Source organism: Homo sapiens, chromosome 5 (genome assembly GCF_000001405.40).
Source record: "Homo sapiens chromosome 5, GRCh38.p14 Primary Assembly".
Classification (NCBI taxonomy): Eukaryota; Metazoa; Chordata; class Mammalia; order Primates; family Hominidae; genus Homo; species Homo sapiens.
The window spans coordinates 88,795,181-88,818,086 of NC_000005.10; the positions used below are offsets into that span (position 1 = coordinate 88,795,181).

The following is a 22,906-nucleotide window of genomic DNA, read 5'->3' on the forward strand; positions in this document are numbered from 1 at the left end:
AAAGTCAATGGTAGCTTGATGGGGATAGCACTGAATCTATAAATTACTTTGGGCAGTATGGCCATTTTCACGATATAGATTCTTCCTATCCGTGAGCATGGAGTGTTTTTCCGTTTGTTTGTGTCCTCTCTTATTTCTTTGGGCAGTGGTGTGCAGTTCTCCTTGAAGAGGTCCTTCCCATCTCTTGTAAGTTGTAATCCTAGGTATTTTATTATCTTTGTAGCAATTATGAATGGGAGTTCACTCATGATTTCTCTGTTTATCTGTTATTGGTGTATAGGAATGCTTGTGATTTTTGCACATTCATTTTGTATCCTGAGACTTTGCTGAATTTGCTTATCAGCTTAAGGAGATTTTGGGGTGAGACAATGGGGTTTTCTAAATATGCAATCATGTCACCTGCAAACAGAGGCAAGTTGACTTCTTCTTTTCCTATTTAAATACCCTTTATTTCTTTCTCTTGCCTGATTGCCCTGGCCAGAACTTCCAATACTATGTTGAATAGGAGTGGTGAGAGAGGGCCTCCCTGTCTTGTGCAGTTTTCAAAGGGAATGCTTCCAGCTTTTGCCCACTCAGTATGATATTGGCTGTGGGTTTGTCATAAATAGCTCTTATTATTTTGAGATACATTCCATCAATACCTAGTTTATTGCGAGTTTTTAGCAGGAAGGAGTGTTGAATTTTATCGACGCCCTTTTCTGCATCTATTGAGATAATGGTGTGGTTTTTGTCATTGTTTCTGTTTATGTGATGGATTACATTTTTTGATTGGTGCATGTTGATCCAGCCTTGCATCCCAGGGATGAAGCTGACTTGATCATGGTGGATAAGCTTTTGATGTGCTGCTGGATTCGGTTTGCCAGTATTTTATTGAGGATTTTTGCATCGATGTTCATCAGGGATATTGGTCTGAAATTTTCTTTTTTTGTTGTGTCTCTGCCTGGTTTTGGCAACAGGATGATGCTGGCCTCATAAAATGGGTTAGGGAGGAGTCCCTCTTTTTTTATTATTTGGAATAGTTTCAGAAGGAATGGTACCAGCTCCTCTTTGTACCTCTGGTAGAATTCAGCTATGAATCCATCTGGTCCTGGACTTCTTTTGGTTGGTAGCCTATTAATTACTGCCTCAATTTCAGCACTTGTTATTGGTCTATTCAGTATTTGACTTCTTCCTGGTTTTGTCTTGGGAGGGTGTGTGTGTCCAGGAATTTATTCATTTCTTTTAGATTTTCTAGTTTATTTGCATAGAGGTGTTTATAGTATTCTTTAATGGTAGTTTGTATTTCTGTGTGATCAGTGGTAATATCTTCTTTATCATTTTTTACTGCATCTGATTCTTCTCTCTCTTCTTTTTTATTAAGTCTGGCTAGCAGTCTATTTTGTTAATCTTTTCAAAAAATCAGCTCCTAGATTCACTGATTTTTTGAAGGGTTTTTCGTGTCTCTATCTCCTTCAGTTCGGCTCTTAGTTATTTCTTGTCTTCTGCCAGCTTTTGTTTGTTCTTGCTTCTCTAGTTCTTTTAATTGTGATGTTAGGGTGTCAATTTTAGATCTTTCTCACTTTGTCCTGTAGGCATTCAGTGCTATAAATTCACCTCCTCTAAACACTGCTTTAGTTGTGTCTCTGAGATTCTGGTACACTATGTCTTTGTTCTCATTGGTTTCAAAGAACTTACTTATTTCTGCCTTAATTTCATTATTTACCCAGTAGTCATTCAGGAGCAGGTTCTTGAGGTTCCCTGTAGTTGTGTGGTTTTGAGTGAGTTTTTTAATCCTGAGTTCTAATTTGATTGCATTGTGGTCTGAGAGACTGTTTGTTATGATTTGCATTCTTTTGCATTTGCTGAAGAGTGTTTTACTTCCAATTATGTCAGTTTTAGGATAAGTGTGATATGGTGCTGAGAAGAATGCTGAAGTCCAACGTTGATCTGGGGTAGAGAGTTCTGTAGATGTCTATTAAGTCAGCTTGGTCCAGAGCTGAGTTCAAGCCCTGAATATCCTTGTTAATTTTCTGTCTCGCTGTTCTGTCTAATATTGACAGTGGGGTGTTAAAGTCTCCGACTATTATTGTGTGGGAATCTAAGTCTCTTTTTAGGTCTTTAAGGACTTGCTTTATGAATCTGGGTGCTCCTGTATTGGGTGCCTATATATTTAAGATAGTTAGCTCTTCTTGTTGCATTGATCCCTTTACCATTATGTAATGCCCTTCTTGAGTCTTTTTTTATCTTTGTTGGTTTAAAGTCTGTTTTATCACAGACTAGGATTGCAACCCTTGCCTTTTTTTTTTTTTTTTTTTTTTTTTTTGCTTTCCATTTGCTTGGTAAATATTCATCCATCCCTTTATTTTGAGCCTATGTGTGTCTTTGTACGCGACATGGGTCTCCTGAATACAGCACACAGATGGGTCTTGACTCTATCCAATTTGCCAGTCTGTGTCTTTTAATTGGGGCATTTAGCCCATTTACATTTAAGGTTAATATTGTTATGTGTGAAGTTGATCCTGTCATTATCATGCCAGCTGGTTATTTTGCCCGTTAGTTGATGCAGTTTCTTCATAGTGTCAATGGTCTTTACAATTTGATATGTTTTTGCAGTGGCTGTTACCAGTTTTTCCTTTCCATATTTAGTGCTTCCTTTAGGAGCCCTTGTAAGGCAGGCCTAGTGGTGACAAAATCTCTCAGTATTCGCTTGTCTGTAAAGGATTTTATTTCTCCTTCACTTATGAAGCTTAGTTTGGCTGGATATGAAATTCTGGGTTGAAAATTCTTTTCTTTAAGAATGTTGAATATTGGCCCCCATTCTCTTCTGGCTTGTAGGGTTTCTGTAGAGAGATCTGCTGTTAGACTGATGGGCTTCCCTTTGTGGGTAGCTCGACCTTTCTCTCTGGCTGCCCTTAATATTTTTTCCTTCATTCCAACCTTGGTGAATCTGATTGTGTCTTGGGGTTGCTCTTTTTGAGGAGTATCTTGTGGTGTTCTCTGTATTTACTGAATTTGAATGTTGGCCTGTCTTGCTAGGTTGGGGAAGTTCTCCTGGATAATATCCTGAAGTGTTTTCCAACTTGGTTCCATTCTCCCCATCACTTTTAGGTACACCAATCAAATGTAGGTTTTGTCTTTCCACATAGCCCCATATTTCTTGGAGGCTTTGTTCATTCCTTTTCATTCTTTTTTCTCTAATCTTGTCTTCATGCTTTATTTCATTAAATTTGATTTTCAATCTCTTATATCCTTTCTTCCGCTTGATCGATTTGGGTATTGATACTCGTGTATGCTTAACAAAGTTCTTGTGCTGTGTTTTTCAGTTCTATCAGGTCATTTATGTTCTTCTCTAAACTGGTTATTCTAGTTAGCAATTCCCTTAACCTTTTTTCAAGTTTCTTAGCTTCCTTGCATTGAGTTAGAACATGCTCCTTTAGCTCGGAGGAGTTTGTTATTACCCACCTTCTGAAGCCTATTTCTGTCAATTTGTCAAACTCATTCTCCATCCAGTTATGTTCCCTTGCTGGAGAGGAGTTGTGATCCTTTGGAGGAGAAGAGGCATTCTGGTTTTTGGAATTTTCAGCCTTTTTGCACTGGTTTTTCCTCATCTTCATGGATTTATCTACCTTTGGTCTTTGATGCTGGTGACCTTTGGATGGGGTTTTGGTGCAGACATCCTTTTTGTTGATGTTGATGCTATTCCTTTCTGTTTGTTAGTTTTCCTTTTAACAGTCAGGCACCTCTGCTGCAGGTCTGCTGGAGTTTGCTGGAGGTCTACTTCAGACCATTTGCCTGGGTTAACACCAGCAGAGGCTGGAGAACAGCAAAGATTGCTGCCTGTTCCTTCCTCTGGAAGCTTCGTCCCAGAGTGGCACCCACCAGTTGCCAGCCGGAGCTCTCTCGTATGAGGTGTCTGTCGACCCCTGCTGGGAAGTGTCTCCTAGTCAGGAGGCACGGGGGGTCAGGGACCCACTTGAGGAAGCAGTCTGTCCCTCAGCAGAGCTCAAGTACTGTGCTGGGAGATCCGCTGCTCTCTTTAGAGCCAGCAGGCCAGAACATTTAAGTCTGCTGAAGCTGCGCCCACAGCTGCCCCTTCCCCTAGGTGCTCTGTCCCAGGGAGATGGGAGTTTTATCTATAAGCCCCTGACTGGGGCTGCTTCCTTTCTTTCAGAGATGCTCTGCCCAGAGAGGAGGAATCTAGAGAGGCAGTCTGGCTACAGTGGCTTTACATCTATATTTTTATAAGTATAAAATTAGAAGCTAATTAGATATAATGAATGGTCAAGTAAAGTAGACATATTTTCACATTTACATCCATTTCCAAATTTTGTGATACTGAGTTTGTAAAGAAGTCCAATTTCGCTATTTGCTGCATTTGCTTTTCAACAAAAATTGTATTTAGTATTTTCACTAAACTATGTAAGAGCACTTAGCTCGTTGATAACTTTCATCACCATTGTGAAGCTATACAAGTTATAAACTATTTTAAGGCTTTTCCCATCCCAATTTAGGCCTTAATTATTACTGTGCAGAAAACATTTTGCTGCAGCAACTGTTCTTAGATGTCTCTAAATCAAAACAGAAGTCAGGATTCAGGTGACAGCAAATAAAATTTCCAAAATAATAAAATATCAGGTAAATATAATCTCTCATCTCTCATCTTCTCTCCATCTCCCTATGTCCCTTTCCTTCTCTCTCTCTCTCTCTCTCTCACACACACACACACACACACACACACACACACACACACACACAGAGAGAGAGACACACATGTTCTTCCTCTAAAAAGAAAAACCAATAATCCTCTACTGAGACAGTTGTGAATCAAAGGTTTCTTCTGCAGGAGTTACATCCATCTCTGAATTTCCTAGAGAGCAGCAAAGGGCCTTGTGTTTTATTCCCCTTCCACACTTAATCACTGGACTGTGGGCCCAGACTGAATGAGTAGCTCATTAGAATCACTGAGTTCACTGAGGGGATGAGAGATTCCTTCCTGGCTGGGTGCTAAGTGATACTCCCATAAGGATTTTGTGGTTACAAAACGTGCTGGATATGGAGGTAACCTGTCTGGGAGTCCTGTCACTCCAAGGATCACTTGGAATGCTCTGGAAAAACACATGACCTGGCTGAATGAGTTCTGTTGAATTGTTTAGCCTACACCTTCATTTCAGCAGCTTATACTGCATTAATGAGGTTATTGTTCCTTTGCCGTCCAATTGTTCCCAAGCTGATTTTTTGCATATATGTTTTACATCCTTAACAAGAATGCCTGTCTCCTGCTGTTTCAGAGTCTCTTCCACAGTGCTGAGCATGAGTGGAGCTTGCTAAATCATTGCTAAATGAAGCAATGGGCTGTAAGCATGTCCTGTGGGATCTGCATCTTCAGATCATCCTGAAGTACTCAACAACCACATCTTCTTCCAGGAACAGAGCCCAACATAAACTGGTAGGGTTTGCTGTCTTAGACAGCTAAGAGAACGAGGAGTGGAGCTAGTGAACAAGCAGTGAAGGGGGCAGTTCCTTAATGCCATCCGAACTGAATTTCAACAGTCTGACAAGCTAGCGTTTTGGGTAAATATCCCAGTATACTTGTCACAGAGTTAAGTAAAATGGACTTCCTTCAAAGGAAGTGCTTTTAATACAATAACTGTTTTTGTTTTTTTAACCAATGGATTAAAAATTTAACACATTTACTAAATCTGGCATATTTATATATTGTATCTAAACAGATATTCAAGCTGCATTATAATATAATCATAAAAAAACTGATCTCAGTCTGTCTGTTAAGCCTTTGTGAGTCTTTGTGCCATTGTTGGAGTAGTGCTAATTATCAAGCAAAGACATGATAATTACGCAGAGCTTTTTTGCTAAAAGAAGGAATCTTTTTCAACACCCACGCACTGCACAATTTCCTATGACCCTGTAGCACTACTCTGGTATGGCCCAGAAATTTGTATTTCTGTGTAAAGGCTGGAAATTATATTATTTCTATCTCTCCCGATACCTTTTCTTCTTGTGAGTAAACTGTTTTTAGAGGGTTAAGGAAGAGGGGTAATGGTCCAAATGGGAAATATAAAACTAATGACCCTTCATGAAACATATTATGCTCCTCATTAAACTTATTCAGTTAAATGTATTCCATTAAATTAAAATAAATAGGATTTAAAATTTTACCCAGGAGCAGTAAACAATCTTAACTTTTGACTTTATGGTAGATCCATTCTAAGAACGAATTCAAATCCCTGATGTATCATAGGTCTTTGCCTCCAGCACAATTTATGTACTAGTGCTGCAGAGGTTTTCAAATTTAGTGTGTCTAAGAATTACTTGGGAACTTTTTTTTTTTTTTTTGAGACGGAGTCTCACCCTGTCGCCTGCGCCAGAGTGCAGTGGCGCGATCTCGGCTTGCTGCAAGCTCTCCCTCCCGTGTTCAGGCCATTCTCCTGCCTCTCGAGTAACTGGGACTACAGGCCCCCTCCACCACGCTCGGCTAATTTTTTGGATTTTTAGTAGAGACGGGGTTTCACCATGTTAGCCCCGATGATCTTGATCTCCTGACCTCATGATGCGCCTGCCTTGGCCTCCCAAAGTACTGGGATTACAGGTGTGAGTCACCGTGCCTGGCCTACTTGGGGAACTTTTTATAAATGCAACTTCCAATCCAGATTCCCTCTTCACCAAGTGTCTCAAGTATCCTAATTTCAGTGATGCAGCACTTTGAAAAATATTCCATGTGAAGATGATGTAAATTTTATCAAGCTTAGCGGTCCCATCTTACTTCTTTTTCCATGATCTCTGTTATTACTAAAATGTGGAAAAGCCAAATATGTGAAGAATGCATAATTCAGGGAGTTGAACAGGACGGACCCACAATGTGTTAGACTTACATGTTATGTTCATCCAAATAATTGAGCCATCCAATCTCTAGATTTGGCCCAAAAGCCTCGAAGTGTCTTTTTGAGAGATTCAGAGATTTAATCTATTGATGTTAACAAGAAAATGGAACTGGTTCTTTACTCCTGTTTTACAAGTATTGCTTTTTTAAAAATTATAATCTTGCAAAAGCACTTTCAAATCCAATGCCTTCATTTTTGAGATGAGAAAACGTCAGCCCAGAGAGGTACCCAACTCACCACACTGCACAAAAGTGCAAGACAAGGATTCAAATGAAAAACAATGACTCTTAACCCAGTGCTGTTTTTGTGGCATTTAAAGAAGTCTGACTTTCAAATATCCACCTATCAAAAAATATGAAGTTTTCATACAATATATGAAGTGGGTTTTTTTGTTGTTGTTGTTGTTAAACAGACAGGGTCTTGCTCTGTCACTCAGGCTGGAGTGCAGAGGCACAATCTAGGCTCACTGAGGCCTTGACCTCTCAGGCTCAAGCCATCTTCCCCCTTCAGCCCCCCAGGTAGCTGGGACCACACATGTGTGCCACCATGCCTGGCTAATTTTTGTATTTTTTTTGCAGAGACGGAGTTTTGCCATGTTACCCAGGCTGCTCTCAAACTCCTGAGCTCAGGCAATCTGCCCACCTAGGCCTCCCAAAGTGTTGGCATTATAGGTGTGAGCCACCACACCTGGCCAATATATGAAGTTTTAAGTTGCCTTCAAGTCATATAATATATTCCTAAGAAAAACCCTCAGAAGATGAATGTTCTAGGTTTTAAACTCCTTTAAGAAAGCAAATTTTAGAAGTCAACATATTTTCCAATTGGCTCATTATGGATCTACAGCATTTCACATGACATTAAGGACTAGCAGTTCCAGTGTAATGATAAATTCCAACTCAAATTCTTTTGTTACCCTGACTTTTGTTATAATGGTTTTAGTAATGAGATGGAGTTTTTAGTAAATAGTTGTTTTGTTTTCTGAATTTATTTTACATAAGTATTAGTGCACACACACAAGCAGTGTTCACCTTCATATTTTTGTACTTTCATATTTATATGCAAATAAAAAACTATCTGAAATGCATAGGTAAATTTTATCAGTGATCCTAAATTTCAAGATCAAGGCAAGCACACAATTCAAATTATCAATGAAAAACTAAAATAATGCATAGTATTTTAAGCACATATCACCCTAGGTCTATTTATCATTCACTTTTGTTTCTCTGAAATTATTTCCTTGGCCTCGTTAAGGCAAAAATAAAATATAATAATCAGCTCAATACTTTTGAAAAACTTTCAAATAAAAACAAAGAAATGAGAATTAGTCTTAGACAATTGTAACAGGTAAAAGGGAGATGGATGTGGGAGGCATATTCATTTGATCAGGATTAGCACTACATTTTTTTACAATGTGGAACCAGTCTAAGCAATGGCAAGAATGACGTGTACTCTGGCAAACTGGCTCTTGAGTACATACTTTTGAAACACTTATTAATTTTCTTTTCATTCTGAGAAAGCAGGCACAATCTAGGGAAGCCAGAGTAGACAAATAGATTAAGAAAATAGGCAGATGGGAACCATCCTTATTATACCTCTTCCTTTGTTTTGTAGTCTTAATCATTGCTCATGAAGGGTACTACAAAGTATTTAAATAGGATCGATGCTGAAAAGGTTTAAAATGTTCCAGCCAATGTAACTAACCTGCACAATGTGCACATGTACCCTAAAACTTAATGTATAATAAAAATAAAATAAAATAAAATAAAATGGGAAAAAAAATGTTCCAGCCAAAACTGTATGGTATGTTACTTATGCTAACACATCTAAAACATTTTTGACTTTCAGCATCATGCTTATTTATTTTGGGCACAATAAAACAATTTTTTAAATCTGACATTGATTAAACACTGAGCTAACATTTAGAAATTCATTTTCATCTGATTTCTGATTCCATGTATATTAACAGTTTTCATTGATATATATAATGATATAATTTTTAGGAAAAAACATTTCTAGGAGAATAATTGCCTTTACTCTTCCAGCAAGAAAGCATTCAGAATAATGAGTTACAAAGAAGAGACATAAATCGAAAAACTGAAAGTGTAAGGTTGGGGTGAGTTCATTTTTAAATACGTTTTTTCTTTGATGATGCCGGGAAACTATTATATACCTAAAATAAATGATCAGAAGTGTCTAAAATATGGATGAGCTATTCCCTGGCAAGAGTTCCCAACCATGGTGTCCTGATACACAGCTGTGGACAATGACCACTTGCCAAAGATGAAGCAAATAGTTTGACACTGGTACTTGATTTCTAGCAAAGACCAGATCTTACATGGTCTCTATCATCACATCACTCTAACTTTTGAAGGGGAGAGAAAAGGTGGAGTAAGAGTTGCGATAGATAATAATCCTGGGTCTATCTATGGGACTATGAACATCTTAAGAAAAAGAACATGATGTGTGTATGTGTGTGTGGCAGGGGGAGGTCCAAACTCCCCTGCTTGCGGAGGCTTGGGGCTCACCACGCATGCTCTCTCACCTCCACGATGTCTGAGTTTGTCCGGCTCTCATGCGGCTCGTTGTACTCCGTGTACTTGAGAAGCACTTTGTCCATGTCGGTGCTGGCATACTGGAACAGCTTGTTGGTGCTGTTGAAGATGATCAGCGCAATCTCACAGTCACACAGCACGCTCAGCTCATAAGCCTTCTTCATCAACCCAAATTTCCTCTTTGTAAATGTCACCTAGAAAAAAGAAAGCAGCCAAGATTTTTTAAAAAATATTCATGCATGTGTGGTTTTTTTCTTTTCTTTTTTCTTTTCCTTCACAAAACAATGGTGTGTAGTTGTCAGAGCCCTGGGCACTAACACATTCAGAAAGAAAGCAAATAAATCTAATATTAATTTCTGCTTATCATTTGAAAATGTGTGATTTCTAGCTTGCTGCTGAATGTGAGACTCTAAATGCAAGATTTAATGTAGGGTATTTTAATGAAGGTGACCAGGGAACTGGTCATGTTTCTTTGAGCAAGTTAAGATTTAAAAAAAAATTAATTTCAGCATGGTTAGCATATTTCCCAATTAATAATTAGTTTGGAGCTTGTTTTTGACTATTTGAAGAGTGGACATGACATTAGGAACTTAGCATTTTAGATCTGTGTTCAAACAAGTCTTAAAATTGTCTAGTCTCATGTCATTTAATTGAAAACACTTGAAGGGATATGACTGTGATCTCAGACGATGTTGTATTCTGTTTTCTAGAAACCCAACAGGGCACTGGGAAGTCCGTTAGCCATCATATGCTTAGGGTTTTGGTTTCATTCTTCTGTGTATCTTTCTTCTTCTCTCAGGTCAGAAACTGTATTGTTAATGCCACCATTTTCTTCTTTTAATCTAATCTATTACCAAGACCCATAATTCCTTTCCTCAAAATATTTCTCAGGTTCACACTATTTCCCAGGCAACTCTATCACTGATGTCCTTATCACTTCAATTTTGGACAGCCTAGCAGCTTCCTGTCCTCGATGATCTCCCTGCCTGGAATCATTCCTTCCTCAATTTAACTCAAACTGCAAAGCCTCACTCTTCCTACTGTCTTTTTCCTGATGAGCTGCCTACAACAGCTCCCTCTCCCTGGCTTTGAAAACTTCCTACCTGCCAATCCTACCAAATGCAAAAATACATTTCACTCTTCCCAATTTCAACTCTCTTTTAATTGAACTTCAGCTTGTTGCTCCAGTCTGGCTACTGAAAAGGCGTGAACATTCTTTTTTTTTTTTTTTTTTTTTTTTTTTGGAGACGGAGTCTCTTATAAACCTTTATATGGTCCAGTGTTTCCCATCTACAGAATGAATACCTGTTTCCCAACAGGTATTCATTCTGTAGAGTACTGTTCCTATAAAATACTCCTTAAGAAAAAAGTTCAGTGGCCTAATATGTTTGGAAAAAGAGGCACATTGGTATATGAAAGGCTATGAAACCTTTTAAACTTTGTTTAACTTGCTTTTCGAACCTATTGCTGACATATCGTTTGTTTCTTTGCATATTTATTTATTTTGAGGAGCACTTACTATCACTCTTCAGAACTAGGTTTTTGAGGCACATATTCTGGGAAAAGCTAATTTACTTAATTAAGCTACTGTTTTCAGAATGAATCATTTAAACTTTTTTCATACCTTCAAATCCAACCCACCTTGCAGAGAGGCCAGCTCATTTTATCACAGATTTGTGTGTAATTCCTAATTGCATATTCCTACCCTTCATCTTTCTCTTTGTCTCCAGACACCCAATGCATGTCCTCCAGTTCCACACCTGTCTAAACATCCTGGATTCTCAAACCTTCCAAAGTTCAACCTCATTATCTTCAGTCTAGAATCTGCAGCCCCTTTTGGAATCCCCATCTCACCATAAACTCAGTCATCCAAACTAGAAACCTCAGAGAGAACTCTGAATCCTGGCCTGCCACCTTCTCCCACTCCCCACCCTCCCCCACAACTAAATAGATTTATGTTGACAAGGACTGTGGACTAGCAGACAGAAAGCCTGACCTCCCAGTCTCCTCATTCCTCCACATTTTGTTAATTATTGTTTTACTTATCACCTTTTATTTTTCCTTCATGTTACAATCACATTTTATATTTTCAAATATACAAAATATACACAAAAATATACCAAATATATACAAAAATATGCAAAATATATTTTGTATATAAAATATGCAAAATAAAAAATACAAAACTGTTTATATTTTCCTGTGTGATCTGTTTAACCTCTCTTCCACTACAGCGCATGCTCCACAAGGGTATATGCCGTTTTTATTTTGCTCACTACTTTATCCCCAGTGCTTAGACCAGTAGACATGTGTGGGCACATGGTAAAAATCCATGGTATAAAAATTGATAGGGGAAGCTACTATGTGAAATCTTCAGAAAGATACAATTGATGTATGTATATATGTGATAAATTTTCCCATGAAATTTTTTTAACAACTCATATGCAAAATGTTTTAACAATACATATATTCCTTACTTAATAATAATTACACTATTTTATCATATGACATTGAAGGTAGTATGGTAGAAAGCAAAGAACATAGGGTTTGTATTTAGAGAACTCTGAATTTGAATGCCGAATTTGCTAGTCATGCGAAATTCACTTAACAACTTCTCTTTTGTTTGTTTGTTTTTTGAGACAGGGTCTCCCCGTCTCCTAGGCTGGAGTGTAGCGGTACTAGAATAGCTAACTGCAGCCTCCACTTTCCAGGGTCAAACCATCCTCCCGCCTCAACCTCCGGAGTAGCTGGTACTACAGGCGTGCACCAACATGTTCTGGCTTTATCTTTGTTTGTATTTATTTTTACTAGAAACGAGGTTTCCCTATGTTACCCAGGCTGTTCTCAAACTTCTGAGCTCAAGCGATCCTCCCGCTTAAGCCTTTCAAAGTGCTAGGATTACAGGCATAAGCCACCGTGCCTCGCCTCACTTTAAATAAAGTTCTTTGAGTTTGATTTTTCACATTTGTAAAACAGAGATTTATACCTACTCTTAAGGCTGTTGTGAGGATTGTATCCAATAATGTGTGTATAGTATTGAGTATAATGCTTAGAGTAGGTGCTCAATAAATATTAGTTCCCCCAAATTTCTTAGTTGACTTAACCAAAAAAGAAGAACTAGCAAAATATACTTGTCTTGGTGACTTGAAGAGTCTACCAGTTATGGCTATTTGAAGATGTTATTATGACTGATAGAAAGATAAAGCTGTAGTGACCATCGTTTGGAAAATAAGGCATTTAGATATTTACTAGCCCATATCAACTAGTCAATATTTACTCAGTTACGTTATTTACATTTCAACTTGGATAATTCTTCTTTCTTGTAATTGTCAGTGTTTTTCACCTTCTATTTCATCTTTATTGATTGTCTTTCTAAAGTACTTCTGAAAAAATATAGCTAGTGTTTTATTTTCATATCTGATTATCATACTACTTTAGAAACTTTTATTCTGTTTTATGCAGATGAGTCATAATTGATATTAAGGATGGGCTGAAAACCATCTTTTTGGAATGAATAAAGAAACATAATCATTAATTACACAGAGCTGCACTAAATGTCTTTTAATATTTCTTTTAGATCCAATTTTGATATGAAAATGTACCTGCATATTGGCATTTTACTTAGTGAAATAGGCTACAGAATACGTTCAATACAGAAGGCACTGACCTAGACTACTTTCATATATCTAAAACCACTTTTAATCAGACTTCATGACCACAAGCTATATGTGGAATGTCTCAATACAGTATGGTTTCTGTTGTACTCAGACCTCAGAATTTTGCACGTTACAACACTCATAATCAAAGTACATTTCAGTACAGAAATATCATTAATGTCACTATTTGTGTTTACTTTTAGTGCTCCTCAATTTTTGTGTAACCAAATAGGCTGCTGGATAATGAATACTTATTTAATAATACCCATCAAAGAAGTCAGTGCATATAGCTTCTTCTGCAATTTAAAACTGCAAACTGAAATGATGACTGTATTAAAGCACGTAAGAAAATATCTTCAAAATCTACTCTTAATTGCTCTAAATTTAATTCTGCATTATGTTCATATTCTTCATAGCATTCTCAAAATGTATTTTATAATGCTTTTTCTCATTGTTCATAGTTAGATAAAATTATTTTTAAGCATTAGGCTTTCTAAAGAGATCTGGAATATAACTCTTCATTTAAAATATGCCACTCAATAACAAAGATTTCAATTCTGCGCTTTTATACTTAAATAATGCCTTGTGATGGTTACATTTTTCTTAACTTGATAATAGTTTGTAATGGGGACAAGTCCATATTTCTTTTTAAATAACATGTTTGGAACCTTAGGTGAGGCAGAAAGAGGTTTTTACAGTAGTTAGGCAAAGAGTCTCTCTTTTCCAGTATTTACATAAGTCAACATGTTATCAAATTAAAGAGACTTAATGTGTGATATAGCATAGAAAGCAGAACTACTCTGTATGTTTTTTATTTTATGTTTTTCCTTTATATTTTTGAATCTTTAAATAGCCCCAAATGTGATGATGGTATGTTAAGTTTTATAGTGGCCCTGACTTTTAAATCCTAGAGTAAGGACAGATACCATACATCTTATGTTGATAATGGCTCTAGAACCTATTAGGTGCGAAGGAAAAACAGAAATTAGAAGTTGAAATTGAGAAAAGAAACATTCATTAAATATAGCACCATACAAATCAGTTACTAAAAATTTAAGAAAGTCTATTCACAAAAAATATAAAAATAATTTGGCCAAGTTTTATGGAGCATTTTCCGCATGTCAAACATTATGCTAAGCAATATTTATTGAATATTCTCTATGTCAGGCATTTGTGCTAGGTACTGTGGCTTCCATTACATAAAATAATATCTCCCTTGTTCATATCAGTTCCTTGTGGCTGGACAAAAAAAAGTCATTTAATTCCATAACGTTTAAAAGGAATTTTCTTTATTTGGAACAAAATGCATGACTTGGCCAACAGAGTTATATTTTCAGTCATATCTAATAATCTGAATTCGTATTTTTATTTAGAGTTGGGTGAATTCAGTTTTTTTTTCAGACTAACTTTTTCTCTGGACTGAGCTAGAAAAATAATAGTAGATGTAAATTCAGTCAAGATGAGTACGAAATGAAATCTACCTTACTGGTTATTTCTAATCTTGACTTGGTGAAAGCTGATTGTGGTATTACTCCCATCTCTCCTTTTCCACCTGGCCACTGGATGCACCCATCACGCTGTAAGGGTTAGTTTAAATGCCAACTTCTTTCTTTGATGCTTTCCTTGTCACATTCAGATAAAACTCATTCCTTTCTCATTGTAGTCCTCCAGCACTTTTTACAAATCTTTATTATGAGACTTACTCCAGTATTACAAAGTTGGTTGTATATGAGTTTTCCCTTCTGCCAGATTTGAATTCCCCAAAGACCATCCCTCAGGCCTCTCACAGACTCTGACCAGTGGCCACTCAATGAACCTTTGCTGAACGAATGGATTATGGAATGGAAATACTCCATTTTGAAGTCTGAATGTTTCGGTATAATTTTATGTTAGAGTAGATGCTTTTTTACTTGCCTTTTAAATAATTTAATCTCTCAAAAATAGAGATTTTGGACACATATACCTTTATTTTACTACAATGTTTAGCTTATTAGTGACACAAATCTTAAGATAAAGTAATTACACTATCTTGGAATTTATAATAAAGAAGGTAAATGATGTCTGGAGAAAAATATATATGTAAATATGCTGTAGACTTCAAGAAAAATATACTTCAAAAAATTCAGAGAAAAGTTTTTTTCTTTTTTATCCCTTGCCTGGATAAAAAAGATGAAAGATAAAAAAGTCTGAAGATAAAAATTTAATTTTACAATCACAGGATACAGAAAGAATGGGGAGGATCCATGGGTTCAGGATGACTGAGTTTGTTCAGCAAAAATGTACTGAACTTTCTGATGAGTTCAGATTTTCAAAGAATAAGCATTTGGAAAAGTGATGAAATCCTCATGCACAATTTGAGACTGGATGGTAGTAATTTAGCTGATTTAAATATGGCTGATGAACTATAATTAATGAGGCCGACTTAATTGATCAATGTTAAGTTTATCAAAAAGTCTCTAGTAAAGTGCCATAGAATTCAGTACTTTTCCCATCCCAGGAGACATTTTTGTCATTGGTTTAGATGGGTATATAGGAAGGCAGGCTTATCAGATCTGCATGCAACGTAAATCTGGGTGCTTGAGCAAACCCAGTAGGTGATAAGAGTCTATATCCATAGCGCCTTCTACAGCCTTTAGAAAGCTGGGTCACAATCAAGATGAATCAAATGAAGGTAATTTTAAAGTCCACATTCATATTTTTAAAAAACAATTACAAAAGTTCAGGTTGGGGATAATTAAGGAATTTTGGGAAAGGATCTAAAGTTTTAGCGTTCTATAGTGGTAATTAATTATCCTACTGATCTTTTTGTTTGTCAGAACCATCTTTGGTAGCATATTCAGTTCTGAGGGTGACATTTTAAGAAAGCACTGACAAAATTAGAGCATCTACAGGATGGTAAACAGACTGATGTAGGGTCTGAGAACAATCTGGCATGAGGAACCATTGAAAGAATCTGGAATGTATAACTCAGAAAAAAATAGAATTAAAAGTGAAATGCTAAACATTTTCTAAGGTCTGAAGCATATGTCCATGCGAAGAGGCAAAATTAGTAAGCATTGTTGAAAATTAGAAAGAGATTCAAAACAAGGGAAAATCTAGTGATGAGAACTTCCCACCAAGCAGGAAGCAGCTCATTTCTGAATATGTTCACATAGAGCTGCATATCAAGGAAGGTGTAGAAGGGGCTCCTGAATTAAGCAGGAAGTTGGACTAGAGACCTTTAAAATATTTATTCTAATTTTTAGATGTTCTTAATCTATGCCTAAGTATCATAGGGCTTTGAGTTAAGAGCAAATGGCAATATGGTTCACCAAGCATGCACCCTACAGAATCTCCTATGTTTTAGTTACTCAATCCCACCCATACATTATCGCCTCTAATTTCCATATTTCAAGAAATAAAATAACTTTTTTTGTAGCTAGACGAGACACAAAAGACTGTAAAGAATTTGAGTAGACAACATTAAATGATGTACTGAAAATGCACAGAAAAATAATTATCCAGATTGATAAAACAGCAAATTCACATTATTAAAGACATTTTAAAGAAACAGGATACATGCATCATGACTGGGGCAGTACAATGTAGAAAGAAAAACATAAAAATTGAAAACCAAGTCCCAGCTCTGCCTTTTATGAGCTGTGTGCCCTTGCGTAAAATTGCTTAACTTACCGGAACCCCAGTTTCCTCACCTGGAAAGTGGAGATAATAACAGGCATCATATAGAGTTTTGTGAGAGGTCAAGTAAGGGATATAATACCAGTGTAAATAACTTGTTAACTGTGAAACACTTTACAAAGCAAGTAGTATCTTCTCTGATGCACCAGGCTTAGTCGCTCCTTGAAACATACTGTAAAAGACTGGTCTCCTAGGACCTGTCAGCTTGTGTTACCATTATTTACTTAGGTCTAGATTAGAGTGTCTCTCTCAGCTATATCCTAGTTTTTCTCGAGTACCTGGGCCATCTTTTGCTCATTCTTGTAACCTGACAACCAATAATAATACTTGGCTAAATAAATAAATGTTGATAGAATGAATAGATATATGGACAGAGGAATTATAGTGTTTTTTGTAATCCAAAATGAATAGCTGAAAATAAATTTCTATGGATGCTCAGACTATGTTAACAAGAAGTTTGCTACTGAGAGAGGGAAATTTCACATACTTGTTTTATTTTATTTTTTTGTCATTTTAACTTACAGTAGAAACTTACATTTGGTAAAATTAATCAGGAGAAAAAACTGGACTTGGTCAAATTTTGTGTGTGGGTTGGTTGGTGCAAGTGAAGCATATCAGATTTCTTATATTATTTTTTAGATAACAGTGTTGCTTATTTGATAATTTTTTCTAAGAAGTTCAACGATTTTATAATTAATTATCTCCCTACATTCGACAGTATCTCTTTGAACTTATTCTTTAGCACAGTTTATCATCCCTATTTTTCAGATGAATACCGTAAACAAAGACATGAATAGCCTTATCCAAGGTCCCCAGACTTGTTCCTGGATGGACTAGAAAACCAACCCTCTTCACACAAAGTGCATCTTTCTTTCTGTTAGTTAGTGTTCCTTCCCTCTTTTAGATAACTATGGATTTTAGGGGCTGAAGTTCAGCTCAATATGGACCCAGTCAACTGTTTATTGAGCAGTATGCAGGCACTGTCATTTGTAATGTTACATTAAGAACCATCAGAAATTCTGATAAGTGCAAGCACAGTAATGCATAACATTTTAATTAACGTAAGGACTGCTTTCTAGGTTAAAGTCAAAAAATAATACTAAGAACACTAAATTGAGAGCCAGTTGGTTTCTAGGTTCTGACAGTAAATCAAAGCTACTTTTGTATAGACTCTGCAGCCAACTCTGCCCTCAGACGCTCCGGCCATTCCCACTACAGCCACTGAGAACCACATGCATGCACTAGTGGGCACAAACTAGTTCTATATTTATGGATGTTTATTTTAATTTCAGAAAATGGGAAGAATTTTGGTTGGTAGTAAATACAGGTCTGCTTACAGCTAGAATAAAAAAAGGTGGCCCTCTGATTTACACAGGCAATGTAAATAACAAGTTCTAAAAACAGAGAAGGAGTCCTGTATCATTTCCTACAGGGTAGGGAAATTAGTTTGACTACTGTGAAATGGAAAGGGCATTTCATAATCTTTCTCCACTCCACACGCCTGCCCCCTCCCTCACCCTCCCAGGCCCAGCCCCATTCATAAAGTCACCTCAGAAGAACTTTCCTGCCATTTTAACTGTGGTAACTGTTCTTGCACCTTGCAGGAAAGAGTTCTGAAAGAAAAGGACCTTTAGAAACAGCAGCTACTCACATCTATAATAATAATTGAGGCCCAACTGCAAATTGCCTCAGACATATCACTAAGGGAAGCAACAAAAATCTGATCTATGGGTCCCAAATACTTCTTTCCACCAAACACAATATTTTTAGCCTAATCTTAATTGAACCTTACAGTGCTCAATGAATGGATAATTTTTTATTTTTTTATTTTCACCATTCTTTAACTCATAAATAGTAGTTTCTTTGTTTTAGGATGTGTTTGGGATTCGTATACCCAGCTAATTCTATTTTCAAAGGTTTGAGGTTTGATCATTTTTTTTCCCTCCAAATAAGAGTCATGATAAATATAACCCTCATTATGTGAAAATATTTCAGGTCGGCTACTCCACCTCATCCCCCCACCTAGATAATCTCTCAGTTTCCTCCCAGTTGAGGAAACAGAATGACTAATGAGTGACAGATGGACAGTTCACAGATACAATACACTCTGTAATCCAGGAGCCACAGGTCTTCCTATGTGTTTAAAGGGTTAGGGCTGGAGTCAAGAGTCTGCAACGACAATCTTTAATTGGGAAAAAGGGAAATGCCCTCCTAAATGCTCTTTCTCCACCTCCCTTGTTCCTGACAGTAAGTAATGGCACAAATGTTCTAAAGTATTCTTCTTCAGTTTTATTTTGTTTAATTCAGTCTGTCATTAGAAAGGCTCGCGAGCTTTAGGCCCGATGATTACTCTCGGTGGGAGGAAGCAGTGCCTCTGCAGACTTGTGTTCTAGACAAGCGTTCCTTTATACAATGACGGGGCCTGCCATCGTAAATGAAAGGCTCTTTAAAGAGCAGCGAGGGACTCTTTTAAGCAGACTGCTACCACGTGCTTGTAACCCTCCAGCATAACTTGCGAGGATGAGACAGCAGTGTGTTCTGCCGCAAAGGGGACTATTGTCCTCGTTAGCCTCAAGCAAATTGAGCCTCCGTTTCGCTGAAATACAGTAGTATTTCCAAAGGATTTTCAAGCAGTAGTTCCTAAAATTCTGAACATGATAAAAGGATTAAAATAAGGGGCTTAGAGTGTGGAATTTAGAACTCTACCAACCCCTCACCCTAAGTCAACATCCCAAATCCCAAAATAAAACTCCAAATCTTATGCATTGGAGGGAAAATAATAAATCACAGTTAGATCTAAATTAAATAATCGAATGCACATTAATGAAACGAGTGTTTATTAACAAACTCATAAAAGTTTGAGTTTTAAAATTTGTGACAGCTGAATTCTGATGCATTTGTCTGCATGAGGAAAAGGAAGAAGGATGACCGAAAATTGTTAACTTGATCAGGATATAAGAGATTTTACTGTGGCCCATTTTAAGGCCTAGGAATGTTTTGCCTTTTGAAAAGAGAAGACTAACACAGCAGGCTTCACATTTTTTATATGGGCTGCTCAAGTCTGCCTGGTTTGTTAAAGGGCTAATTTTCATTCTAAATCCAATCTGTAGATGCAGTCATAAAATAAATACCTTTGTTTCTCTGTATCTCATCTACATAAGAGATATAATTTGAATCTGAGAAGAATCAAATAAACCAGATTAATATTTTGGGGGCAAAAACATGTTTACTAGTTCAACAAAGCCAAATGTACCTAAGGGAAAGGTCAAAGGATACTTCATTCCCTGCTGAGCAAATGCTCAGGAAGCACATTTGTCTACATTTTCCTGTCATAACAGGAAGAGTGTAACTTCTTCCTTTCCACAATAGCCTAGGTTTTACCTCCTAACTCCAATATTTTCTCCCCCAGGGCCTTCCAAATCAATCCTTGCAAGACAGAAGGCTGTCTCCCTTATAGTTTCCAAACAGTTACATTTGTTGAAATGTTATTTAAATGTTAGTGATTTCTTTAGTTAAACTGTTCCAATTTAAAATTAAAAGTCAAATTTCCAAACATTTAGACTGGTTCTCTAATTCTTATTAATGGTCCAACATATTTCAAAAGAAACACAAATACACATTACATATTATCAATTTTTAATTTTTTTCCTTAATGATGTCATTTACTTAATTTTTTAAAATTTTTGCCAAAGCCATTATCCTCAGAAAAAATAAGTTTCCAAACTACCTTCAACAAGAATACATTGGGATGCAAACTTTAAAAATACCCTAATAATTTTTGAAGTAGTTTCATTTTGAACTAAATGTTAAAGAAGTGCAGACTGCAGAGGACATGGCTTTTGAAACAATTAGCATCATGTCTTTTAATCTACAGTTTGGAAGAAACTTCTCGGTGTATGTAGTCTATTTATAATGTTAATATTTTTAGTGTTGGTTTCTCAGTAATACAATGTCACACAGTTTGTGCATTTGCAAAGCTAAAGGTGACTTGTAGCAGACAGAGTGGTGTGTGCATGCATTCCCAGAGGTGAAAGGGGCCATTCAGTATCAACTTTCTTCACAAAATGAGATACAATAAATAAAAGCATCAGATTCTTTTTAAATTACAGTTTTAAGTAGAAATTATATGAGATATACAAATTAGAACTGGAAACAATAAAAACCCTTGAGGCCCTCAAGTTCAAAGAAGAGTGACAGAATTCTAGAAGTGACAATTATTCTTTTCCTTATGAAAATGTTGGCCTCTCTCAGATTTCCTACCAAAGGAAAGTGAATGAATGAGATTGACGGGAGTTGGAGCAATATCTTTCTGGCAGTAAAGGAGTAGATCTAGCTGACATAAATATAAAATATCATGCACCGAACAGGATAAATAGTAATATGTGTGGCACACTGTTGCTGTGATCCTACTACATGGTGGGGAGATTATTTGTGAATTCTTTTCAAATTGCTAAGGGATAAAATGGAAATGAATGGCCTGAGGCCACAGCTGTTAAACATACATCTGAGCATTCTGCCTACTGCTTTTTTTTTTTTTTTTTTTTTTTTTAATTTGGAAACTCTTACAAGTATTATTTAGGTCATTTTCCCTTCTGGTTTTCTTTTTCAACTCTTCAATCACCAGCAATTCCAAATCTTTGAATAAAAACTTTTCCCTTGGTAATTTTAAGATTAATAAAAGAATGATTTAACTTATATGCATGAGGAGCTTTTAAGAAGGCATCCCCAATATGTGGCAATAGACCCTATAATTCAATTCTGATGGGTATGATGTCCTAAAATATTACTATGACACACCCTTATTTTATTTATATGAAATAAGTTTAGTATAATTTTTAATACAAGTGTTGGGGAGGCAGGCATCTGTTAAGAAATGATACTAAGAAAAAACAATCATCATCATCATTATTATGAGGTATTTGCAGGCTTATTTTGGATTAAAAGATAGGAAAATCAATAATTTTTCACTGATTGAGCTTTTTTTCACTAGGTCTGAAAGAGATTCCAGATACTTCTTGATTAACAAGTATAATTCTTCTACAGTATTTAAAGAAAAACTCACAAGTCTGGAAATTCTGTTTGTGGAGGTGGCCAAAAAAAGTGCATTTAGCAGTGGAGACTGCATCTTCCATCTATTCTCCAACTTATGGTTTGGAATTCACCGAAAAATTATTTTTTTGAAGCAATTAATTTGTATTTCTCAATTATCCAGTTACTCACATTTAAAGAGTGAATGTATCTCTCTTTCAACAAATTTTCTATTAGGTTATTAAGATGTAACTCCCAAATTTAGAACTGTAATTAACTTGATGAAAACCAGGAAAAAGTAAGGAGTAAAATTTTTTCTTTTTAAAGAGTCACTTGAGGGAATCTATACATCTCTTTTTATTTTTCAGTTTAGTGTCGAATAGACCAGATTTAGTTTGAAAACACATCAGTATGTAGAAACTGTCAGAAGCTGCATCTACACTGAACACATTTTTCCAGCTTTTTTCCTAGTTCATCTTATATAATTTATAATTCATATGAAGAGACTGAGATGGGGACATAAGAAGAGGGAAAGTTAGAAAATGTAACAGCTATGAACTCTGAATTCTTTTAGTCATAAGGGGATTCTCCTGTTCTATTAACAGAATGTTGCAAATTGTCTTTAGTTTGTGCTCCAGTTATTGCACTGATAATTACATGAAGTTTTGTTTGCTGGCAAAAACTATTAGTGTGCCAGATCTGATGAAAGAAAAGAAAACTTAAGGCATTTAAATATATTTCTTTCTTAACTTACTATTTTAAGCCCTAACTGTGTTATCTGACAAATATTTAAATGTCTTTTTATAACAAGTTGCACAAATAAATTTGGGCTTACCTCTCCTATCCTTTCAAAGTAGGAAAGCTGAAATTTTCAAATACAAACATACAAGTAAATAGGTTTAGGCTAAGCATGCCTAATTTTTATATATCTTTCTTCCTAATATAACAGATTTCTAAATATATTGTTTGTAGAAAGAGTCATATAAGGACAATATTCATTTAAAAACTGTTAAAGGACCCAAAATTACAGCTAAATAAGACAAATGCATTCAAGTGTTCTATCCCACCAAAGGATGACTACAGTTAATATATCTTACAGTTTGAAATAGCTAGAAGG

General features: G+C 36.2%; 1 protein-coding gene across 76 annotated transcripts in view; it reads right to left on the reverse strand.

The window, feature by feature from the left end:
• The window catches only part of MEF2C (myocyte enhancer factor 2C), a 186,989-nt gene that overhangs the window by 78,064 nt on the left and 86,019 nt on the right, over nucleotides 1–22,906 (reverse strand). For all 76 annotated transcript variants that reach the window (XM_011543396.4, XM_017009478.3, XM_047417190.1 and 73 more), the window contains one exon: nucleotides 9,418–9,621. In XM_011543396.4, coding sequence (XP_011541698.1) covers nucleotides 9,418–9,621 — 204 coding nt within the window. The remainder of the gene's footprint in view (nucleotides 1–9,417; nucleotides 9,622–22,906) is intronic.